Below are 24062 nucleotides of genomic sequence, written 5' to 3'. Positions count from 1 at the left end.
GAGGCATGAGAGAAAAGGTGAAGGATATCGCATTCTGAGTAGGGGAATTGGTAAGCAAAGGTATGGGTGTGGGAAAGAGGATGTTATATTTCAGGGACAATGAAGTGACTGTTAGCTAGTGTATTTGTTTCCTAAGGCTGCTGTAACCAATTACTATAAATGTATTCTCTCACAGTTCCAGAGGCTAGAAGTCCTGGAATGAAGGTGTTGGCAGGGCTGGTTCCTTCTGGAGACTCTGAGGGAGAAACTGTGCTCTGCGCCTTTCCATTTTCAGGTGGCACTCTTTGGTGTTCCTTGGCTTGTAGATGCATCCCTCCCATCTCTGCCCCTGTCTTTACATGGCCTTCTCCCTTGGGTCTCTGTGTCTTTATTCCTTTTTTCGTTTCTCTTTTAAGGACACTGGTCATTGAATTTAAGGCCCATCCTGAATCCAGGATGGTCTCCCCAAGAGATACTTGATTTAATGACATCTGTAAAGACCCTATTTACAAATAAGATCACATTCACAGGTGCCAGGCATTAGGACTTGAACATATCTTTTGGCAGGACACTGTCAACCCACTATAGATAGTAAAAGTGGGTAAGGTTGAATGGATGGAGAGGTCTGCTTGTGTCAGTTCCTGAATTTTTATGTCATAGTGGGGGTTCCAATATAAACTTCTCAGCTATCATTAAACAATGGACATTTTTTGGGGAAGGATAACGAAATGAGCTCATGTGGGGTAATTTGCATTGAGGATTGAGGAGAAATCAGTCTGAAGGCCAGAAGAGTCAAGGTGTGTGAACATGGACTAAGGACTACAGGTCATTCTCACCTGGCAGGGGAAATACCATGATTACTAAGAACTGTAAGTTAGTAGTAGGTGGTGATTTGCATATATCATGGGGTGTCTTGCTTAGATTTGCCTCTAACTTAAACCTCCTGGGTTCCTCCTATGGCCTTTAGCCACAGCCAAGGTGAAATCTGTACAGAACTATTTCTGTACTAGCAAAAATCATCCTTTTTTGCATCCTAGCATAATGTAGGTGGAGATGGAGTACATGACCGCTCAGGTTTTGGGAGCATCCAGTAGGGGAGCATGATGCTTTGAAAGCAACAGGGACAAAATATTTCTCTTTAATTAGCTAAGAGTTAGAATCAAGGAGAACCTGGAGTTAACGTGGCCAACATCAGGAGCAAACAAACTTGGCTGAGACATAGGTGTGAGACCACACAATGCACTAAGTCAGGAGACAACACACGTTATTTTTCCTGATGCCCACTTCTTCCCCTAAAAGTTTCTGTGTGCATATCCTGCCCTTTCAACTGTGTTGCAATCTTCTTGAGAATAGTGACCATGTTTTAAGCTTATATCCCTGTAGCACAATGCTGGGTGCACAGCATATACTTAGCCAGTGCTTGCTTCTTGATGGAAACAGCTACTGGCCTCCTTATTCTTTTCAGTATTACAAACAAAACACATGAAAAAATCAATGACAGTGATGAAGGTTTGCTTTAAAGTGGATGAAAGACTCATAGTCATTGTAGGTCTTCCTATTGTTCTTAGAATTTCTGGGCATAGACTGTTGACCATATACACTATGGTTTGCTTGATGGAGTCAGAAGAACAGGTAAGAAGGTGAGACCCAATGAGATAATCAAAACTCTGTCACTAAAGAGCATCGCCCAGGAGCACTTCAGTTCTTTTCAAAAGCAACTGGAGAATGGAGAGTACACAGATTGCATAAGATATGTCTAGGGCTAGACATTTAAAGCTATTCAATGTTTCAGCCTCTTTCTTGGGAAAAAATAGAAATAACAAATTACTTTTGGGAACTAATGTTTTCATGAAAGTCCTACCAAAATCTGCATACATCTTTCTCAAATACATTTCACATTATTGCAACAATGGAACGATACTAATGATCCTTTCTGAATTATTATAAAAATATTTGCCAGGAGACTGAGGCAGGAGAATGGCGTGAACCCCGGGGGGCAGAGCCTGCAGTGAGCCGAGATCGCGCCACTGCACTCCAGCCTGGGAGACAGCGAGACTCCGTCTCAAAAAAAAAAAAAAAAAATTGCCCATAAATGTTGCCAACTTGCTGTTTACTGTTAAAGAGCAAAGAGGAAACAAGTCCATCAAAACCACCCCAAATCAGCTAATAGAGATTTGAGCCCTGGCATTGTCAGTCATTCCTGCCACAGGAGCCTTAATAAGAGAGGTCAACATCTTCTCCCTCAGAAGCAGACAATTGTTTGCACACACAGCACCAGCCTCTCCGACTGCCCCTCACACACTGGGTCTGAGATACCTGCTTAGACATGTGAACTAGGAGAAAATCTCAATATGAGGAGGCTAAATAGTGTGGCAATACCGAAATGTTGTGAATACTGCTTTTTTAGCACATGAAGTATAACTGGTCCAACAGTCTTGCCTTTTTTTTTTTTTTTTAACAAGAAAAAGAATATGAGTAGACTTTATCTAAGATATTAACTTCTTAGTTCTAAAAGCACTTGTAACAAAAACCAAATTGTTTTTGTGGGGAGGATGGTAGAAATTCATAATTACTGGGATTCCTTGTCTCATGAATGAGTAATGCTAAGTGTCATAGGGCTACTTAAGAATGCATTTATTTATCTTTTAAATTGTTAAAAAGCAAATACATTGCATAAAGGTGATTATTTTAACTATTTTAAGCATATACTTCAGTGACATTAAATACATTCACGTTGTGTGTGTGTGAGGCTACTTAAAAAAATTTATCTTGGTCACTTTTTTTCCTTCAAAATATAAAAACAATACTCAAAGTTCCTGCATATCCAGTTCAGTGAGGTTAATATTCTTGCAGAGAAAACTCTGATATCAGCTCAGCTCTGATAATTCTTTGTTTTTTTTTTTAAACAGTCTCGCTCTGTCACCCAGGCTGGAGTGCAGTGACGCCATCTCGGCTCACTGTAACCTCCACCTCCCTGGTTCAAGAAATTCTCGTGCCTCAGTCACCCGAGTAGCTGGAATTACAGGTGTGCATCACCATGCCCATCTAATTTTTGTATTTTTAGTAGAGGCGGGGTTTCACCATGTTGGCCAGGCTGTTCTCAAACTCCTGGCCTCAAATGATCCACACAACTTGACCTCCCAAAGTGCCAGGATTACAGGCGTGAGCCACCATGCCCAGCCAGAATATTATTCTGATCATTCTGACTTGCTTCATCTGCTACCTCTTAGGTAGTTGTGTGAAGTCATAATTAGCAAATTCTGGGTGAAAAAAGATTTCAAGTCACAAAGATCTCTCATAACTAATGTCAATGGAAAATTCTTTCTTTGAGATTGCCCTGATTCCATTATACTGTTTAATCCACTTGGCCCATCTGTGTCATACTTGTTAAATTCTTTTACTAAATCTGGGCAGACATAACTGTAGCACTCCTTTACTGCAGTAGCTGTTTCTAGGGATTGCTCTGAAGGAATTTCTACTTCTCAGCCTCTGAACAGTTGCTGAATGAAATATGTGATGCTTGCCCTATGATTGGAATGTGCTTATGGCAGTTGCCAACCCCATATCCTTCAGCTGGAGGTGGGATGGCAGTTGCCAACCCCATATCCTTCAGTTGGAGGTGGGACAGGAGTGCCACCATCTTTACTATCTCTTCCCATACCAGTCAATGCCTGTTTTCTTATTTGTTTTGATGCTCAGGATGCTGCTAATGCAAGAACAGCCTGTATGGCTATGTATGAGCCTGGAATATTGAAGAACTCAAACACTATTTCGGTAGCATATTCTGTTTTCTGGAGCATTCAGTGGACGTTTGGTGAAAAGAAAGTAATGACCCACATGTTCTGCTTTAAGTATTTAAAGATTACTTGCTCCAAACCTTTCTGTCAACAGTCTTCAACTAAACCATGGTGGGTTCACCACTTCATGGTATATGTGGCTTTTCCTGTTACATCATCCCCAATGAAGAAGTCTATGACATTGGCTTTCTTTATCACCCTCTTTTGAGCCTAATTGCCCACTTTTGCTGAATTCTTGAAAGCAATACATCAAGGGATAATAAACTATTGTTCTGTATTTGCAACATGTCCCAGTTTTGTATACTCAGTGCCACAATCCACCATACGCACTGGTAGCTGTCCCACCATCTTCCTTCCTGCTGCTATCACCCTTTCTTCCCTCTTGCCACCCCACTGCTTTATCTGGTCAGTACTGATTTGAGATTCATGGCAGGAGATGGGGACTTTCTAACACTCCATAGCTGGGTACCCTCTCTTACAACTTCTTCCTCTTTCGCTGCCTTTTCCCAGGAAGTCAAGATGGTCCATTTGTGCCCATGCCCCAGTCAGACCCAGGCCAGGTTGTTTTGAATGGAAGTTATAGGGGCAGTAGAATAATACTTTGATTTCTAGATTATTTTTTTGCCTCAGTGCTTATTTTAAATGGCCTAAAAATCAAGTCTAGTCTAGACAATGTTGGCAAGAATCTAATCCCGATAGATTAGAAATAAAGTATGAAAAGAGCCAGATGGAAGCAGTGCCTAGTCTAAGATCACCTAGGAATATAAAAGAGATGGTGATGGAGAGATACTGAATGATGCAACCAGGTGTGGTCACAAGTACAAATGTTTAGGTTGAAATATGGGAAGGAGATGACATATCTGGAGGGAAACTGAGGAAGTAAGCAGGAGGTGCATGTGAGGGGAAGTTGAGGTCACTATGTAAGTTATGTTAGGTATATTTTAACTGATTAACTCTCTGGGCAACGCTCTCAAACTTAGATGAACATCTGAGTGACCTGTGGTTTAAAAAAAAAAAAAAGGCTATATGACTCCTGCCTGAAACCTGTTGAATCAGAATCTCCAGGGTAGTATTTGTTTTAGAAAGCTTTTTAGGAGATGAGTTGAGGAAGATATATTTAGGCTAGAGGAATAATTTTATAATGTTGCAGAAACTAGTTTCTATCTCTCAATGAAAGGGAGGTGGCCTGAGGAGTTAATAGTACCACTGACAAAAAAGGCAGGGATTGTTTTTCACTCAGCAATCAGATTGTGGACTCAAGAAGGTAGTTCTGCGTTGCTAGGGATGTTTAAGAACATGCAAGACAAAGTCATATGATGAAAAGGGATAGGAGAGGAAGGCTTTGAGGACACTGTGCAGATCAGAAGTGGTTGGCGGGGGGACCCTGCTATTGGCCTGTTGTAGCTCCTCTGTGAAGAAGAATATCTCTCCAGAGGAGGGGAATGGAGATTGATGATATGACAATGCAGTCCAAAACAGAATAAGCTTGCCCAAAACACACACAGGTGTTGACTCGACTCTTTGATGTTGTCACTGGAGATGTTGTCATCTTGCCTCAATTCCTAGGACAGGAGAGTTGGTGATCAAAGTGAGATTCACAGTTGTGTACTAGGTGTTTGCATTGAGTTATAAGTGCATGCAGGGTGATGGCTTCATACATTTGAATATCAGTATATCTCTAGTATTTGATTTAATCATATTAAGACTATAGTGCACCAAAAGCTCCATAAAACCAGAGACTTTTCTTATTTTGTTTGCTGTTGTATCCCTAGAATCTATAACAGTACCTGGCACATAGTAGATGGATCTGGATCTTCAATAAATGTTGAACTAATGAACGAATGAATCCATTGTTTAAAAGATGCAATTAAGAACAGTAGAAATCTGGCTGGACACGGTGGCTCATGCCTGTAATCACAGCACTTTGGGAGGCTGAGGTGGGCGGATCACTTGAGGTCAGGAGTTGGAGACTAGTCTGGTCAACATGGTGAAACCCCATCTCTACTCAAAATACAAAAATTAGCCGGGTGTGGTGGTGCATGCCTGTAATCCCAGCTACTCGGGAAGCTGAGGCAAGAGAATTGCTTGTACCTGGGAGGTGAAGGTTGCAGTAAGCCGAGATTGTGCCATTGCACTCTAGCCTGGGTGACAAGAGTGAAACTACATCTAAAAAAAAAAAAAAAAACAAAAAAAAACAGTAGAAATCCCTGAAACCAGATGAACCACACCACCAAACAAGTTGAGACTGCACATCATCCTCTTCACAGAGGTGAATAAAAAATTGATGTTGAAACTTGATCTAAGCTAATTGTTTATCTTCTTATTTATTCTCCTATTATTTATTGGGGAGAGTTAGTATTTTGAGTCTTTCTTCTTCCCAAATTAAATCAATTTTCAGAACTTTCATTTGTACTAAGTGTAAATAACGTCAAATACTTTATGTATTACTCTTCTAAGTGCATTACATTTTTTAACTTGAAGAGATGATGTCTTAGCATCAAATTTGAATCATCATTTTACAATGGGGAAAGATTTCCTTTTCAATGGTAGATTTTTTTTGCCTTGAAATTCTTATTGATATTCAAAATTTAGAGAACTATAGTGCAAAGTGTTTAACATATATTAGAATGAACAGGGTATGACAATCTCAGCAGTAAAGAGAAGATATCTGTGGGCTTACAAGGATAGAATCTACATTTCTCCTTTCCTCTTGTTTTTTTGGAGTGGCAAAAGATGATTCCTTTTTTGTTGTGGGTCTAAAGGATATGTTGTATGTGTTGGCAATTTCTTCCCTTACTCATGAAGGAGTTATGCTAATAGTAACCAGGTTCTAATGGCATCCTTGGCGTTTGATTTGATTTTGGAGAGACTAAACCAGGTACCACGCCTCAGTCAAGCAGCCAGAAATAGCATTTGGAGTGTTTGCCTAACTGTCCATGGGAAAGGCCAACCATAAATTCTAGATATTCCACAGACCACCCAGAGAATCTGGCAGGATACACACACACACACACACACACACACACACACACACACACACACGAAACCACCACTAAGAGACAGCCACTCAGGATTAGGCAAGTGATGGTCACCAGCCACTGGCAAACTTTGGCGAAAACATCAGTTATCATTTCCAGCTTTGGGGGTTTGCCTTGTGTCTAGAGCCCACATCAAATACATTGCTGCAATTAAATAGATTCTTTGCCACAGTGAGTTTCATTGGAATGTTTCCTTGCACTTCTCTGATGCATATAAATGAGGTGAAAATCTTATTTTGCTTTCTTCAGAGCCTGAAATATAAAGATTATGAAGAACGGCTGTCATCATAACATAGAAGCTTTTGAAAACAGTCTGTGGCTTAAAGCAAATCATTTTCTTCCCATGAATTAATTATCTAGCATTATGAATTTCTGTGAAGCCTATATAACCAGGCTTATGTTTTCTTATGCTGTTTTTATATTGGAGTTGCATGACAGTAACTTCCTATTTTCTTTTCAAGTGGAAAGATGGGTGGAAATTCTTTATAAGCTGTAAAATGCCATTCACATTTAAACCGCCATAATTTCTAAAGTTTTTAAAATTGCATTTGGTACCATTTACAAGGGTTTTTTAAATGCTTATTGGTTATGTTTCTGGTAGTATTTCACTCAGAAGATGTCTCTTGTCCAGTGTGCACATCTATAAGAAGCAAATTATTCTGTCTGCTTGCATTGCTGCATGCTTTGAAGAAAACGTTCTGTAGCTACCAGCAGAATTCTATGGTTCGAATAATGCCAGAAGCATTTCTGCTTAGATAATCATATGAAGCCAGGTGGGATTAATTAGAGACACTATATGCTCACAACTGAGGCACCAGCTTTGGTTCCATTCCTGTGACTTCCTGGCACCACTATTAAGCTAATAATTCTAGCTAGTGACAGTGGAGTTCAGACTCACCACCCCCATCGGGGTACTTTGAGGAGAGTTTAAAGATAGTAGGGCCTATGCCTCTCCCTGTTACTGCTCTTTTGCCAAGGTTAACAAAAGAGTCACTTGGGTAGGAGGTACAGGGCAGAGAGAAATCCTGTCCTCTGGGTGAGTGATGGTGAAACGACCAAGTCTTCTGTGTGGTGATCAGGTTGGGGTGGCTCCTGCTGCTGCCACTAATCCTAGCATTTTGGGGTTTCTCCTCACAGATTTTCCTCCTGGATCTGTGGGGAACCTGTCCTGATTCAGCCTCAGGTCCTGAGAGCTGGGCCTGGGGTGGAATTGACTGAGGCCAAATCAAGGATTTGGGAGCAAAGAGCAATTTACATTTTTGTCAAAGGCAAGGTTGACCTGGGATACAAAGAACTGTCTAAATCCTGTAGTCCAAAAAAAAAAAAAGAAAAGAAAAGAAAAAAAAAAAAGAGGTGGAGAATGAGAACTTTGCTGTGGAAGGTCATCAACAGAGAATATAAAAGATGGAATAAGCTGGGTGGACCTCGGAGAGCCCTTCTGAGGCAATGATGCATCCATCCCTTAATTTCCTTTTGGCCTGAAGTCTAATTTGTGAAAGCAATTTTCCTTCTACATTAGGTTTTCATTGATTATAGCTCCTTAAATCTGACACCTTGTTGAGCTGTACAAGGACTTGGGGACCCATCCAAAGGAAGCTTTGCCTTTTCCTCCTTATCTTTACCAGGTGATTTTGATGCATTTGTTTGAGGAGAGTTCCTGGTATGGAGGTCTAGACATTGAACTTTGGGGAGTAGAAAGCTCTCATGGAAATATCCCAGGTTTCTATATTAAATGATTATTTCTAAAGACAAGTACATACATACATATTTTGTTTACTTATTTAATCCAAGTGATTAGTCATTGAGCAGTCAGCTTGGGCTGCTATAACGAAATGCTGTGGACTGAGTGACTTAAACCAGAGAAGTTTATTTCTCACAGTTCTGGAGGCTAGGAATTCCAATATCAAGGTGCCAGCAGATTCAGTGCCTGGTGAAAACCTCTTACTAGCTTTCAGGTTGCTGCCTTCTTGCTGTATCCTCACATGGTGGAGACAGAGCTCACTGTGGTCTCTCTCCCTATTTGTATAAGGACACCAGTCTCATCATGGGAGCCTCACCCTCATGACTACATTTAAACCTAATTAATTCCCAAGTCTTCACCTCCAAATTCATCATATTGGGGGTAGGGCTTCAATATATGAATTTTGGGAGGACATAAACTGTTAGTCTATAACAAGGAGAAAAATAATGCAGTTGAACTCTGACTCAGTTCCCCCCAACTATCTGGGGGATGCTCCAAGTGGAATGGGGGAAAGAAGGCAGGTGCCTAGTCAATGTGATTCTGGACTCCAGGTAAATACACTAATGAAATATGTTAGCAGAAGGGTCTTTTCTGTAGAATGCTCCTAGCAGGATATCCTTGAAAAATGACATGAAAGCTGGGGTATAACACAGAGATGTTTCATAAAATGCTCCCTTATGGTAGGAGATAACACCACAAAACCTCCATTGTGGACCCCGTCTTTCACTCTGGGCCAGAGAGTTCATGTCTGTCATGAACCGAAAGGAGCTGGGGAACTGCTCTCAAAGTCCCCAATTTCTCTCTGCTTTTCTGGAACCTGAATCTTTTACTGGATTACCTGACTCTTTTACATCATGATGAAAGCTTGACACTGGCTATAATCTTGATTTGTGTGAGTCTGATCCTTTGTGTCAGATCAGGCAATAATAAAATAGAGCAAATAAAACAAACAAAATGGTTCCAAGTACATGTGTTTGTCTAAGATCTACTCATTTCTATTTTTAGCTTTTTTGTTGTTGGTAAAAAATTGTCCACATACAATTTATAGAGAAGAATAAAAGACAGAAATTTCAATCAGGTTCTTTAAGTGTTCAATGGATTATTTTTTTCTATTGTTTTATTGTGGTGAAATATACATGACATAAAATTTACCATTTAGCCATTTAAAGTGGACAAATCAGTGGCATCAAGCTTACTTGCATTCCTGTGCACTCATTACCACTATCCATCTATTAAAGGTTTTCACTATCCCAGACAGAAACACTGTACTCATTAAACAGTAACTCCCCATCTCCCTTCCCCCTAGCCACAGGTAACCACCAATCTACTTTCTGTCTTCATGAATTTGCCTATCCTAGGTACCTCACATAGTGGAATCATACAATTTATTTGTCCTTTTATGTTTGGCTTATTTCACTTAGCATACTGTTTTCAAGGTTCATTCATGTTGTTACATGTATTATGATGCCATTTCATTTAAAGGCTCATTAATATTCCATTGTGTATACATACCACATTTTGTTTATCCATTCATCTGTTGATAGACATTTGGGTTGTTTCCAGGTTTTTGGCTACTGTGAATAATGTTGCTGTGAACTTTGGTGTATAAAAATATCTGAGTCCTTGTTTTCAATAGTTGGGTGAATATATTCAGAAGTAGAATTGCTGAATCATGTGGTAATTCTATGTTTAACTTTCTGAGGAGCCACCTTAATGTTTCAGTGGCTGTGTCATTTTACATTCTCACTAGCAATACGCAAGAATTACAATTTCTCCACCTCCTTGCCAACACTTTTTATTTTCCATTAAAAAACCATTGCTACCCTGATGGGTATCTATTTTTAAGTGTCTCATTATTAAATAACCAAAAGGTAAATAATATTTTACTACTTTCTAGCTTGCCCCTCTGAGCAGCTAGTTCCATCTTTCTGGACCAGCCTCGACTCTGGAACAGACCTGTCCCTGGAGTGAAACTGCCAAGACTGCACTGCTAAGCTACCTCCTTGGAGGACTTAGCTGATATAATTCCCTTCTTGTCACCTCCAGCCAATGTTTTTGGGTAATTGATGGGTGATTAACAGAGAAACTTGTGGGGCAATTTGGAACTACTAGTATGACTTCATTGAACAAGAACAGTTAAAGAATAATGATAAATTTGCATCAATATTCTTTGCAGGGCCTTTCTCTAGTGTTATGTCCAAATTGGCTTTGATTATCCATGCAGTGAAGAGGGATTTGATGTATGTTACTGAGCCATTGCTCTGTTAATTGTCTTATTCTTTGTGTTATGATTTACCTTCTAGACAGTTGAAAGGTGGTATTTGTTTAATGAAGGTGATTTTATTTTCCAATGTGATTATTGATATTTTGAATACAATATTCATTAAGTTTCATTGCTAAGTTTAAATTGCTGATTGCTTAAATCTTCAGTGCATTAAAAGGGCATGCACATTCTGAATGTCATGGCTTGCTTTTTATGTAGTTACTTATTTGTTTTTGTTGCTAGTAAAACAAATATCTGCTCACTTTAGCTCATTGGGGCTTATCTGCTTCTGTTTACCACTGAAGCCCAAACATTCAGGCTGCAGTTGGCACTACAGAGATGGGAGAACAGGCTGGAGACTGTTCTCCCTCCAGGGTTGTTGATAAAGCTGTCAGCCAGGTTGTGGGGGTAGAATTCTGGCAACACTTGTGTTCAGAATTTCTTAAGCTTAGCCAACTGGCAAGGGATATAATCAAAGGGGAATGAATATGACAGTCTAACTCCCTGCTACATAAACACACACACAAACACACACACACACACACATGCATGCAAAATAACATTCATGTTGATTCTGGGATATACTGTGAGCTATAGCAATCTCTAAACATGTTCAATTTGAAAAGCTGAATGCAATATGTGCTTTGCTTAACTTATTTATTTTTTAAACATAGAAAACCTACTAAAGCTCTTAGGTCTGTCTGTCTGGGACCTTACATAAGTAGCCAGTTTTATAAAAATAAATCTTATGATCTTATAAAAAAGTTTAGGTTCATAAATTATATTCGGTATATTTTAATTGAAATAGTACTTATAAGGGCCTTCTAAATGTTTCCATAATTTTTTCTTTATCATTTGTAAACTTAAAGTGGGTTTTCAGAGCTATGGATCATTTATGAAGTTTGGGGTAGATTATAAATTGGTACACCTTTCTGGATTGTAACTTGGCAATACATATGAGAAGCATTCAGAGTTTGCAGAACCATCATTCTTCCACTATTTTTTCCTAAGGAAATAATGAAAAGTATGTGGAAAGATACAGTGACAAAGATATAAGGATATTCAATGCGGTGTTGTTTCTTATAATAAAACATGTTAGATTTAAAATAATATTATCTATGTAATGAGGTATCATGTAAGTATCAAAAAGGCTATGGAAGAATGTTTGAGGATTTACTTTAGGTGTCAACCTGATTGGATTAAGGAATATCTGAAGAACTGATAAAGCATTACTTCTGGGTGTGCCTGTGATGCTGTTTCCAGAGGAGATGGGCATGTGAGTTGGTGGAGTGAGTGGGAAAGATCCTTCCTTAATGTGGACAGGCACCATTCAATTTACTGGGGGATCAGATAGACCAACAAGGCAGAGGAAAGCTGAATTCCCCCTTTCTGTCTCCTGGAGCCCCTGCCAATAAGGACATCAGAACTCTGGCCTCTCTGACCTTGGAACTGCGGTACTTACACTAACAGCCCCCTGGGTTCTCAGACATTTGGCTTTTCTAGTCTGAGGCTTTGGGACTTGGACTGAGCCATGCTACAAGCATCTCAGGGTCTCCAGCTGGCAGATGGCCTGTCATGAGACTTCCCAGCCTCCATAATCATATGAGCCAATTTCCCTAATCTCTTCTTGTGTGTGTGTGTGTATTCATATCATCTGTCTATATCTATACATCTTACTACATCTGTCTATATCTATACATCTTACATGGTGTCAGGCAAAGAGAGCTTGTGTAGGGGAACTCCCCTTTAGAAAATCATCAGATCTCATGAGACTTATTCACTATCAGGAGAAGAGCACAGGAAAGGTCCGCCCCCATGATTCAATTACCTCCCACTGGGTCCCTCCCATGACATGTCAGAATTATGGGAGCTACAATTCAAGAGCTCTGTCTCTCTGGAGAACCCCGACTAATACAAATATTTAATGACAGAAAAACATATATGATATGTTAAAATTTTAAAAGTATGCTTTTAAACAATATGTATGATATCTACATGAAAACAGCAGAGGAAGGTCTTCAAAGTATCGAGATGTATATCTAAATCCCGGGATTATGAGTGATTTTTTGTAATTTTTTTTGGTTACCTATCCTTTTGAAAATTTATGTAATAAATAATTTTTTTAAACAATACCCAAAGTGGTTGTAAAAAAAATTTTTAATGTGCCTAACATATATATAATTATTTGCAACTCAACTTAATTTGCTATTAACCCAACTGTAGCTATCTGGTTAAGGGTAAAATTCTTCATTAAAAAAGCTGCTTTTATTGAGTGTTTATAACCACTAAATAGTTTTATAATCTTGAGGTTATCCGGTCCACAGAAGCAAGAGGAAGAGGTGCCAGAGAGGAGTCAGAGAGGAATGGGGAGGGAGAGAAACACAAATAATGAGATTAAATTGCATTTCCATTTAATTTTCAAATTATCTGTAATGACTTTAAGCATGGATTCATCTGGAAAAACTTCTAAGTATTATATTGAACTTGGCATTAGTGGCCTGGGGCATGTTAGAGTAAGAATTTTTAAACATGCCTAAAAAGAACTTTATCTTAAGATTCATTCATTTTAGGTGTACATTTTGCTAATGTCATGAAACACTTTTCAGGGTTGAGTATGCTTTGGTGGTAAATTATATAAAGTGGTCATACTACCAAGTAACATTTATATGTTCTCAAAGCTCTTATAGGAGCTTCTTTAAAAAGGGTAGCTTATTTGTTTCTGCAATAGAACCATGACTGGGTGAGGTGAAGGACTGCTATGAATGTGATCAGAGGGTAGACAGAAAATCGCAGGTGCTGGAAGGGATGGTATGTGGCTGGCTGGTGGCCTGGCCAGTGCTTGGTGGTATTTAACGCAGTTAGAGTTCTCCATTCAGCTTACTGTGCTGCTGTGCCTCCCTTTATAAGGAAAAGACTCATTACAGTGGAGGCAATGGTAAAAGGAGATGTGGATGACAATACCTTTGGTCATTTGGAAATGTTGACTCTACAGTACAAAGAAAGACTTATGGGCATCAGAGAACCTGAACAGGTTGTGGACAGACAAGAAGAGATGTACGTATTAGTCTATTCTCACACTGCTAATAAAGACATATCTGAGACTGGGTAATTTATAATGGAAAGAGGTTTAATGGACTCACAGTTCCACATGGCTAGGGAGGCCTCACAATCATAGTGGAAAGTGAAGGAGGAACAAAGTCACATCTTACATGGCGACAGGCAAAGAGAGCTTGTGTAGGGGAACTCCTGTTTATAAAACTATCAGATCTTGTGAGACTTATTCACTATCATGAGAAGAGCACAGGAAAGATCCACCCCCATGATTCAATTACCCGCCACTGGGTCCCTCCCATGACATGTGGGAATTATGGGAGCTACAATTCAGGATGAGATTTGGGTGGGGACACAGCCAAACCATATCAATGTATAACTGGTAATGTGTGGAAGCCACTCTTCATTTCTTGCTGTGTAAATGGACATGAAATCACAGTTGTCATTATGGAAAGAGCAGTGAACAGGGTCCTGAGACAGGGCTCTAGTCTTAGCTTTCTTTTGACCAGACTCTCTGAGTTTTAGTGCATTTACTTGTTAAATTAACAGTTGAACTACATGTAGGAATTCTAAGGTCCCTTCTAGAATGATGTGCTACTGTTTGAATAGTGGAAACAGTAATACATTGGGGGTTACTACAAAAATTTCTAACTCATCATTATCCCTTCATTTGGGTTGCCAACCAAAATCCTCCAGGTACAGTGAATCAGGACTGCTCATCACTGAACTCTCTAGCAATTCCAGAGATCTAGAATTAGTCTAGATTGGAACACAGTATCTGTTTCCCGTCCTTGGTTTTGGAAACTTTCTCAGACTCCACACTGTGGCTTTCTGGATGTGGTTCTCCACTGCCTCTTGCTTCTGCATGTGCCCTGCCTTCCCTGGTTTGAGCTCTTCCACAGCTTCTGGAGGGAGACTAAGGAAAGTTATGAGACATATTAATAAGTTATTATAACATCTGCTTTTTAAACTAGTTGAACAAATATAAAAATTCTATTTTTTTATTTTTAAGTTTCAGATATTTTTAGGTTTCATTTTTAGGTTTTATTCCTTCATTTATTGATTCACAAAAGATTTATTACAAGCTGGAAGACTTTTTTTCCCTGAAAGATTTTTTTCCCCACCAACACATGGCACTTATTCTAGAAGTGTTTTGGAATTTGGTACAAACACAATTTGAGTAAAACTTTTAAAAATCTTAGCAAATTCATTGGGGATAGAAAATATGTATTTTATTATTTTTCTAATCTATTACTACTCAATACCATGTTTTATTGAGAATTGCTGCATGAAATGATCATACATTAAAACATACATCAGACAAGGTAGTTTAAAATATACCTCTTTTATATTTTGGATTGGAATTTGCATTTCATCATATTTAGAATTTTTATCATTAGGTACACATAGATGATTCGTTGCATCTCTGATATGGAATATGTTTCATTGTTTCATTCCACAGCTTCAGTAAATAGCTCTGACATTGGCAGAAAGGTTTAAGTCCATGTGTAAAGTCTGGCAATGCGGGACTTGACTTTTTCAATTATTTTTCCAACTAGAAATGTCTAAGGATGTTGACTTATTGAAATATCTTTGCTACTTTGCCCTGGAAAGTTTCATAATATGCTTCACAGAACAATTGCCACATCTTAGAAGGAGTTTATGAGCTCATGAGGGAACTTAAAGTTCTAATGTAGAGGTGTTTTGCTGTTTAACAAGAAGGTCAGTGGTAAAACTGAATACTATGTTCTCTTCCCCATATTTTTCTAAAGGTTAATCACATTTTAGTAAAATTATGAACTCACAGACTGTCTCATGTGCTGACAGTACTGTATCGTGGCCCCTAACACATCCACACACATGTGTCCCATTCCTAGAAATAGAGGAGAGGATATGAGGTCATTTGTGATGAAATTCTGATCAGAATGTTTTGAAGTGTTCACTGACAAAATTCGCAATAACACAATCATATGGCCACCATTACAGTTGTGGCTGAGCACCTTACTTTTAGGAAAATATTTACAGATAATAAATTTTACTGATTTCAAGACATTTTATTATTTTATGCAACACAGCAATAATGTCTTTTATGATATAATGTTTGTATTTATAGAGGGATGGTTCATAAACATTCCCAAGTAGACTATCAAGCTTGTATTAGCTCTCACAATCTTTCTTAATATCTTCCTCCTGAAAAAAATTAAAGTACCCAGCGAAGCATAAATAAATTGCTCAGCTTCATATCATTAGGCATTAGAAAGTAAGGAAACTAACGGGCTTTCACTTCTCACCGTTTTTAAACAACTTCTTGTGGATCATGTTCAAAGACGCTGGAATCAAGCTCCTTCTAACACAGCGAAACACAGCATAGAGAGTAAGAGAAAGTCCCAACTATGAGGATTTTATAGGCAAGTGGCATGTGTTGTCTGTCACCAGAAGTAGAAGTCTAACACTTTTGCCCACTGCACCTTGGTGTCAGAGTCACCAGGAAAAACACAAAAACGCAATACAGCCAAGTACTAAATGGAACCATACTTTACTCATATAAAGAGAGCAAGATCAGCTTCAGTAGTGGGCATTGGTCCCCCATGTCCCACAGGTCCCTCCTGGCAGCCAACACAGGGCCGTTGGCCACATGCACTCCTCTAGTGCTGCAGAACAAAGGACCCTGTCTCCTCCCTGCAGAGGACAGATATAGCCCAGCTTGAGCTGTGAGGACTCTTCATATCTGGATAAGAAGGTGTTCCAGGCCCAAAGCCCATTCTTATGCAGCCAAGTGGAGATCAAAAGACTGCATGGACAAGAAACTGCCTTTTCCAGCAGAGGAGGCATGGAGAAAAATCTATATCCTGATACACACCTCCATACTTATGACATCTTATACTTACAAGGAGGAAATGTAACTCATATCCACTTGAGTAATAGTGAAATTATAAACATAAATTCCTTGACTCTTCATATTCCTATGGCTTTCTGAGATAGAGGTTATATAGCTCTGAAAATGCATAAAAAATGGGGCTATCGGTTTTCAAGTGTGTTTTTTTTTTCTGATAAGTGTTTAGTTATCTCTAATTTTTGGCACATGGATAATACCAAGACACGGAATTATTTCATGGTCCCAAACAAGTTTACTTTATTGTTCATTTCACTGCAGAGACCATTACGTGACTATGAGACACGTAGAACATCAATGGGCATTTTCGTGGGTGGGTGGAGGGAGATGGAGAGAGAGTACTCAACAGGTACGAGGTTATAGTTAAACAGGAGGAATAAGTTCTGGTGTTTGTTGCAGAATAGGGGGACTATAGCTAACAATATTGTATATTTCAAAATAGCTAGAAGAGGAGATTTGGAATGTTTTCATTTATCATTTCTACAAAGAAATGATAAATATATGGTAGTGGATATGTTACTCTCATTTGATTATTGCACAATGTATGCATGTATCCAAACCACCCTGCACTCCATAAATATGTACAATTATGTGTCAATTTAAAAAAATAAATAATTTTAAAAATGGCTTTCTAAGAAGATATACACATTTTTATTATGAATTCCAGAAATGGAAAAATAGTTCTGGAAGTCAAACATGCAAAGACAATCAATAAAACGTATTAGTATATCTTGTCCCTTTAGAAACACTGCCACCTTCTCCTCTAGTCTGACTCTTTAAAGTTAATGTACTTTAAAAGTTAAAATTTGAGAATGACTAAATTAGTAGTTATTTAACTACTTGTTAAATAACTCGTTAGTTATTTAACTAACAAGTAGTTAAATATACATAATGAAGCAGGGAAAAACCCCAAGAAAGACAATCTCATTTCTCTATTTCATGGAATAACAGCTGGGATGCTCATTTACTGTCTTTTTCAGACTAATAAAATTTATTCTAAAACAGCCTTCCAAATACCACTGTGAAAGCCAAGATTTTTTTTTTTTTGCTAGAAATCAAATGACTTCTTATAATACTATTTTATGGAATCTGTTGATTATTTTACCATTTGGGCATAGAGATACAGCCTCAAGAGCAGTAGAAATTCAACTGCACCAAATTTAAATCACCACTTCTTATGATGTGCTGCTGGAAACATATAATTTCAAATACATCTTCATTTTATTGTTTACTAAAATCAATGCATAATTATTCAGAAAGTGATGGTTAAGTGACAGTTTGGGGTTTTTGCCTGGTTCTGGCTGTTCATCATTTGTCCCTATTTACCACTGAGTGTGAACCCCTATCTTCCTCCTCTAACCTCTTCACTTTTCCCTAAAAGACTGTTGGTGGAAGGAGGAGAATGTGCCAGGCCAACATCTGGTGCTAATATTAACCCACCTAGAGTCTGATGGAGAAAAGCGTAAAAATAATCAATTAAATTTTAAGAGCTCTCCTTGTGGGTGAGTTGAAAAGACATACATTAACTTTCATAAATAAAGACATTTGGAACTTTTGCCAGATGAATCTGATGAGTACAGATCTCGATTTTATTTTATTTTTTGGGTTCTTCATAATTCTGTGTGCAGATGTTACCAATAAAAATACGAATTATGCCATTTTCTCCTTTATATTGTTGATTTTAGTTATATTCTCTTTTACGTTTCCCCAGTAAATAAAATAATAATAATGAAAACTAATATTTATTGAGTGCTTACTCTTGCTAGTAATAATCCTATTTTACATATGTAAATTAGGTAATATACATAAGTTATTTACAATAGTGAGGGAAACAAAGGTAGGGACTATTATTATATTCATTTAAAAGGTGAGGAAACTGAGACACAGATCATTTACATAATTTTCCCAAGCTAGTAAGAGGTATGGTCAGGATCTAAATCCAAAACCTGTTCTCTTCATCACTATGTCATAGTGACATAGCTCACTCATGGGCAGAACCCACGATATTTCTTATTTCTGGCTGGTGTGGGTGTTGTCTTTTAGCATATTGGGGTGGTTCACGGTGGGTGTTGGCAGAGGGGTATTAATAAATAGAATCAATTTCCTGTATGATATTTTTGGAGATGTTAAGAAACTGTCAATATCATTATACAGTGGCCCCAGCTCCTTCAAACCACACCCCTGCCACTGCAACTGGGTCACTGGTAGGTTCTCTGTGGCTAATAGCATGTGTGTGGAAGATTCTGGTCATATTACCATGGAGTGTGTGCTAAAGATAACGCATGTGGCTGCCATGACTCAGTTTCAGCCAGTCCTTCAGTTTTTGCTTGGAAAAGTCCCAGGATAATAGAATGAATATTTTGAAATAAAAATTGTGAAAGAATAGAATTGATTTGGTCACTAATCTTTTCGTTTGAGATTAGTTTTTCTTTGGTCTAATCAGTAGCTATTGGGTAAACTCTTTGTGGCATAAATAAACTTAGAAATTGTCAAATTGCAATAACCTTTCATTTTAGTAGACTATCCCTTCCCTTGTCCCAACTCCATTATTTTCTCTAGCTTGGCCCTTTTGAGTTCAATTCCACCAAAGTTTACTGACCAAAGTTTAATATAAGCAATGCTCTATGTTATGGAGAGTGAGGTACAATTCCTGTTCTTAGGTGCACAAACATATATACCACAGGTCAGCCTGTGATGGAGGATGTAGCCAACATACAAATGAAGTAGCTCAGTACATAGATGTGGGAGACATTTTTTCAACTTGGGTGAGTGTCAAAGCTTCACAGAGAAGACAGAATTTGAAAACACTGAGGTAAAGAAGAAAGGTATTCTATGTAGAGAATTAAAGGTAAAAAATTGCAGTGTATGTTCAGGTATTGTTAGGGATGAGGCTATAGGTGAGAGGGAGAATGGGGAGTGGGAGAGTAATATGAGGGATGAGATAGGAGACACTGAGCCCAAATTATGGGGGCTTGTATTATTATGAAGAATTTGTGGTTTATTCTGTGGACAACAGATGCCATTGTAGGAAGTGATCGAGTATGGGTATTAGGAATTTAAGACTCTGCCCTCAAGGTTGGATTTTAGGAATCTAACTTTGTGTGAAGGCATGGATTGTAGAAGGTAAAGACCAGAGGCAGAGACTAGCTGGGAGGCTTTTGTGATAGTTCAGGCGAGAGGTAACAAGGACCTGAAATCTGGAGTACAATGGGAATGGAAAAGAAGGCTTGGAGGGGTGGACTGAATGTGAGTGATTGACTGTTCCTGGGAGTGGGAGGGGAAAGAAAGGAGAGGAGTCAATGTTTCTTGCCTCTGAGACTTTCAGTTCTGATGAGCGAGATTATCTTATGCAATTAACTGAAATAGAAAGAAACAGGAACCAACACCCTTTTTTGGGGCAGTGGTTGGTCATAGAAAAGGGATTATTTTTTCAAAAGCTCTGATGACATATTTTTTCATCTCTCTATATAATATTTCTTAAAGGACTAAAGTAGAAAAGAAATCTTTAAAACATTTATTAGAAAAATAAAGCTAGAAGAGCATAAAATCAATAAAGGGATTCTTGGGATGTATTTGTTTTTCTTTTGAAACTAAAACAAGTTAACAAGTTCAGCTGTGTAATAACTATAATAAACAGTACTACAAGTGAGTTTATGAAGTTTGAACTCCTTTATCTTCTTGGATCACTCAGGAGCTTCACTAATTTAATCTTGCCTATAAAACTAACTTGAGCTTATTTTAATAAAGTAACTTTCTGACATTTTCCTGGCTTTTAAGTATCTGTCCCCTGTCTAAATGAGAAGGATAGAGATGCGCACATTTTTATTATTATTATTATACTTTAAGTTTTAGGGTACATGTGCACGATGTGCAGGTTTGTTACATATGTATGCATGTGCCATGTTGGTGTGCTGCACCCATTAATTTGTCATTTAGCATTAGGTATATCTCCCAATGCTATCCCTCCCCCTCCCTCAACCCCACAACAGTCCCTGGTGTGTGATGTTCCCCTTCCTGTGTCCATGTGTTCTCATTGTTCAATTCCCACCTATGAGTGAGAACATGCGGTGTTTGTTTTTTTGTCCTTGTGATAGTTTGCTGAGAATGATGGTTTCCAGCTTCATCCATGCCCCTACAAAGGACATGAACTCATCATTTTTTATGGCTGCATAGTATTCCATGGTGTATATGTGCCACATTTTCTTAATCCAGTCTATCATTGTTGGACATTTGGGTTGGTTCCAAGTCTTTGCTATTGTGAATAGTGCCGCAATAAACATACATGTGCATGTGTCTTTATAGCAGCATGATTTATAATCCTTTGGGTATATACCCAGTAATGGGATGGCTGGATCAAATGGTATTTCTAGTTCTAGATCCCTGAGGAATCGCCACACCGACTTCCACAATGGTTGAACTAGTTTACAATCCCACCAACAGTGTAAAAGTGTTCCTATTTCTCCACATCCTCTCCAGCACCTGTTGTTTCCTGACTTTTTAATGATCGCCATTCTAACTGGTGTGAGATGGTATCTCATTGTGGTTTTGATTTGCATTTCTCTGATGGCCAGTGATGATGAGCATTTTTTCATGTGTTTTTTGGCTGCATAAATGTCTTCTTTTGAGAAGTGTCTGTTCATATCCTTTGCCCACTTTTTGATGGGGTTGTTTGTTTTTTTCTTGTAAATTTGTTTGAGTTCATTGTAGATTCTGGATATTAGCCCTTTGTCAGATGAGTAGATTGCAAAAATTTTCTCCCATTCTGTAGGTTGCCTGTTCACTCTGATGGTGGTTTCTTTTGCTGTGCAGAAGCTCTTTAGTTTAATGAGATCCCATTTGTCAATTTTGGCTTTTGTTGCCATTGCTTTTGGTGTTTTAGACATGAAGTCCTTGCCCATGCCTATGTCCTGAATGGTATTGCCTAGGTTTTCTTCTAGGGTTTTTATGGTTTTAGGTCTAACATGTAAGTCTTTAATCCATCTTGAATTAATTTTTGTATAAGGTGTAAGGAAGGGATCCAGTTTCATTTAAAACACAGCTTTTCCTTTGTTCACCAATATTTTGTTAGTATCAAAGGAAGACTCTGGCTTAGTTTTTAAAATCTTCATGGTAAACATTGTTTATTCCAAATAAGTTAAAAAAGCAGTTTTCCACTAACATAATCTTGAGCATCTCATTATGCATTTTCTGGGGAAGTTAAGTGCTGTTGAGTAGGAAGGAGAAGAGTAAAGTAGTGATTGGAGACAGGACAATCCCACACTCTTTAAATTTATATTTCAATTTTTGTTTGTTTGAATAACAGAACCACTAAAAAAAACTAAATATTGAGAATTCAGCTGATTTTTATCTTACTATCCTATAACCAGACTTATAGAAAAACTTGTGTAAAAAACTCCGGAATATTTCTTCTTTCCTCAACTTGTTATCTGTGTGTTGCTATAGCCTGGTTGCCTTTGGGTCAGGTGGGTAACTCAGATGCCTAACTTCTTAGTCTCTTAGACTCCCCTATCCAGATATCCCAGTTCACACTGTCTAGTTCCTGCTTAAAGTTAGTTACATTTGAACACTTATTTTATATCTACCAAAGCATATGTATATATTTCTTTCTTACCTAAGGAACTTACTTATTAAAGCAAATGACTATCTCTAGATTTAAATGGTCTAATTGTTGGAAGACATAGGCTGATTGTTCCAGTAAATTGATAAAGCCTCTTTTGTACAATGGAGATCAAATAACAGGTTAAGTGTCTGAGAGTTTTCATTTTCAATTAGCATTGCTATCATTAATTCATTTCAAAAGTTGTAAGTGTTATACAGTATTTCAATTACAGAGCACAGGGTAGAAAACAGACTGCCACCAACATTTTTGTGGATTTAAATCTTTTTCACCTAAGAGGTTGATTTTTTACCTGTAATTTTGAACTTCTAAGAAAGGGCTCTTATAGGTCAGGTGTGGTACCTGGTGTTCAAAGATAATATTCCAATGAGCCATGCCTTCTAGTAAATTAGTTTCCTATCACTGCTATCACAAATTGCTATAGTTTTTGTGGGTTAACATGAATTATCTTACTATTCTGTAGGTCCTAAGTCCAGCCCAGGTAGCACTTGGCCGACATCAATATACCAGCAGGGCTGCATTCCTTTCTGGAAGCTCTAGGGGAGAATCTATTTACTTGCATTTGCTAGTTTCTCAAGGCTGCCTGCATTCTTGGTTTGGAGATCCCTTCCTCCATCTTCAAGCTAGCAATGACAGGCCGAGTCTTCATGTTGCCTTCTCTCTGTTTCTCTGGCGCTGAGAAAGATTTCTCCACTTTTAAGTACACACATGATTAAATTGGGCACAGGGAAAATCGCCCCATCTCAAGGTTTATACACTTAATCACATCTGCAAAGCCCCTTGTGCCATATAAGGTAACATTCTGTGGCTTAGAACATGGACATCTTTGGAGGACTATTTTTCTGCCGGCCACATGCCCTTATACTACAGGTCCCTTTCCCAAATCTAAGCTGTTTCTGTGACTCTATCTTGAATGGGGTGTGATGTTGTGTGAATTTTGAAGCCTTGCAGCTTCCCACCTGGGGTTCTTGGAATTCTAGTTATTAGATGCTCTCTATCGGAACTTCTCACTATGTTGCAAGAAGCTCAAACCACACGGAGATGCCATGTAGCGTGCACTTGTTAATAGCCTGAACCGAAAACCCACTGGGCAGTGAGCAACAGTTGCCAGGCATATAAGTGAATCATCTTAAACATCCAGCTTAGCTGGGCCTTCAGATGACTGCAGGCCCAACTGATATCTGACTGCAAGTACATGAAGGATCCCAAGTGACACTTCCTAGTTGAGTCCAGCCATCCTCTGAACATTGGGAGATAACAAATTACCATTTTAGGCCACTAAATGTCATAATGCAGAACTGGATAATAAGAGAGTCAAGGTGGGTTGAGGTTTCCAACTTTTGACCAATCAACTCTGGCCAGGGGTTAATTAAGGTCATTGTGTCTGTCAGGTAGCTTAGTTGCAATGAGTAGAAATGAACTCTGGTTAATTCAAGCAGAAAAACAATTTCTTTAAAGTGTAAACAGCATGTTGGTTCTCAGCCACCTGCTTGGAAATTTCTGCAATTTGGTTTGGCTCCTCATTTAGGAATATTTTGAGAATTGGATTCTGGTGCTTTTCAGTCTCTACTTGCAATTTAACATTTCAATTTACAAACGAAATTGGGCATTGTCCAGAATTGCAAGGAGGATTGGAGGAGAACCAGGCTTGGAGGCTAAGCAGCAAAGAACAGTGCCCAAAAA

The 24062-nt window shown here is 38.5% G+C and overlaps 1 pseudogene; it reads right to left on the bottom strand.

The window, feature by feature from the left end:
- Positions 3175–3561, bottom strand: ACTR3P3 (ACTR3 pseudogene 3; annotated as a pseudogene).

The sequence above is a fragment of the Homo sapiens genome, chromosome 3 (assembly GCF_000001405.40).
Source record: "Homo sapiens chromosome 3, GRCh38.p14 Primary Assembly".
In the NCBI taxonomy this organism is placed as follows: Eukaryota; Metazoa; Chordata; class Mammalia; order Primates; family Hominidae; genus Homo; species Homo sapiens.
Note: the sequence above shows the minus strand (reverse complement) of the source record. Positions and strands in the feature narration are given on the sequence as shown.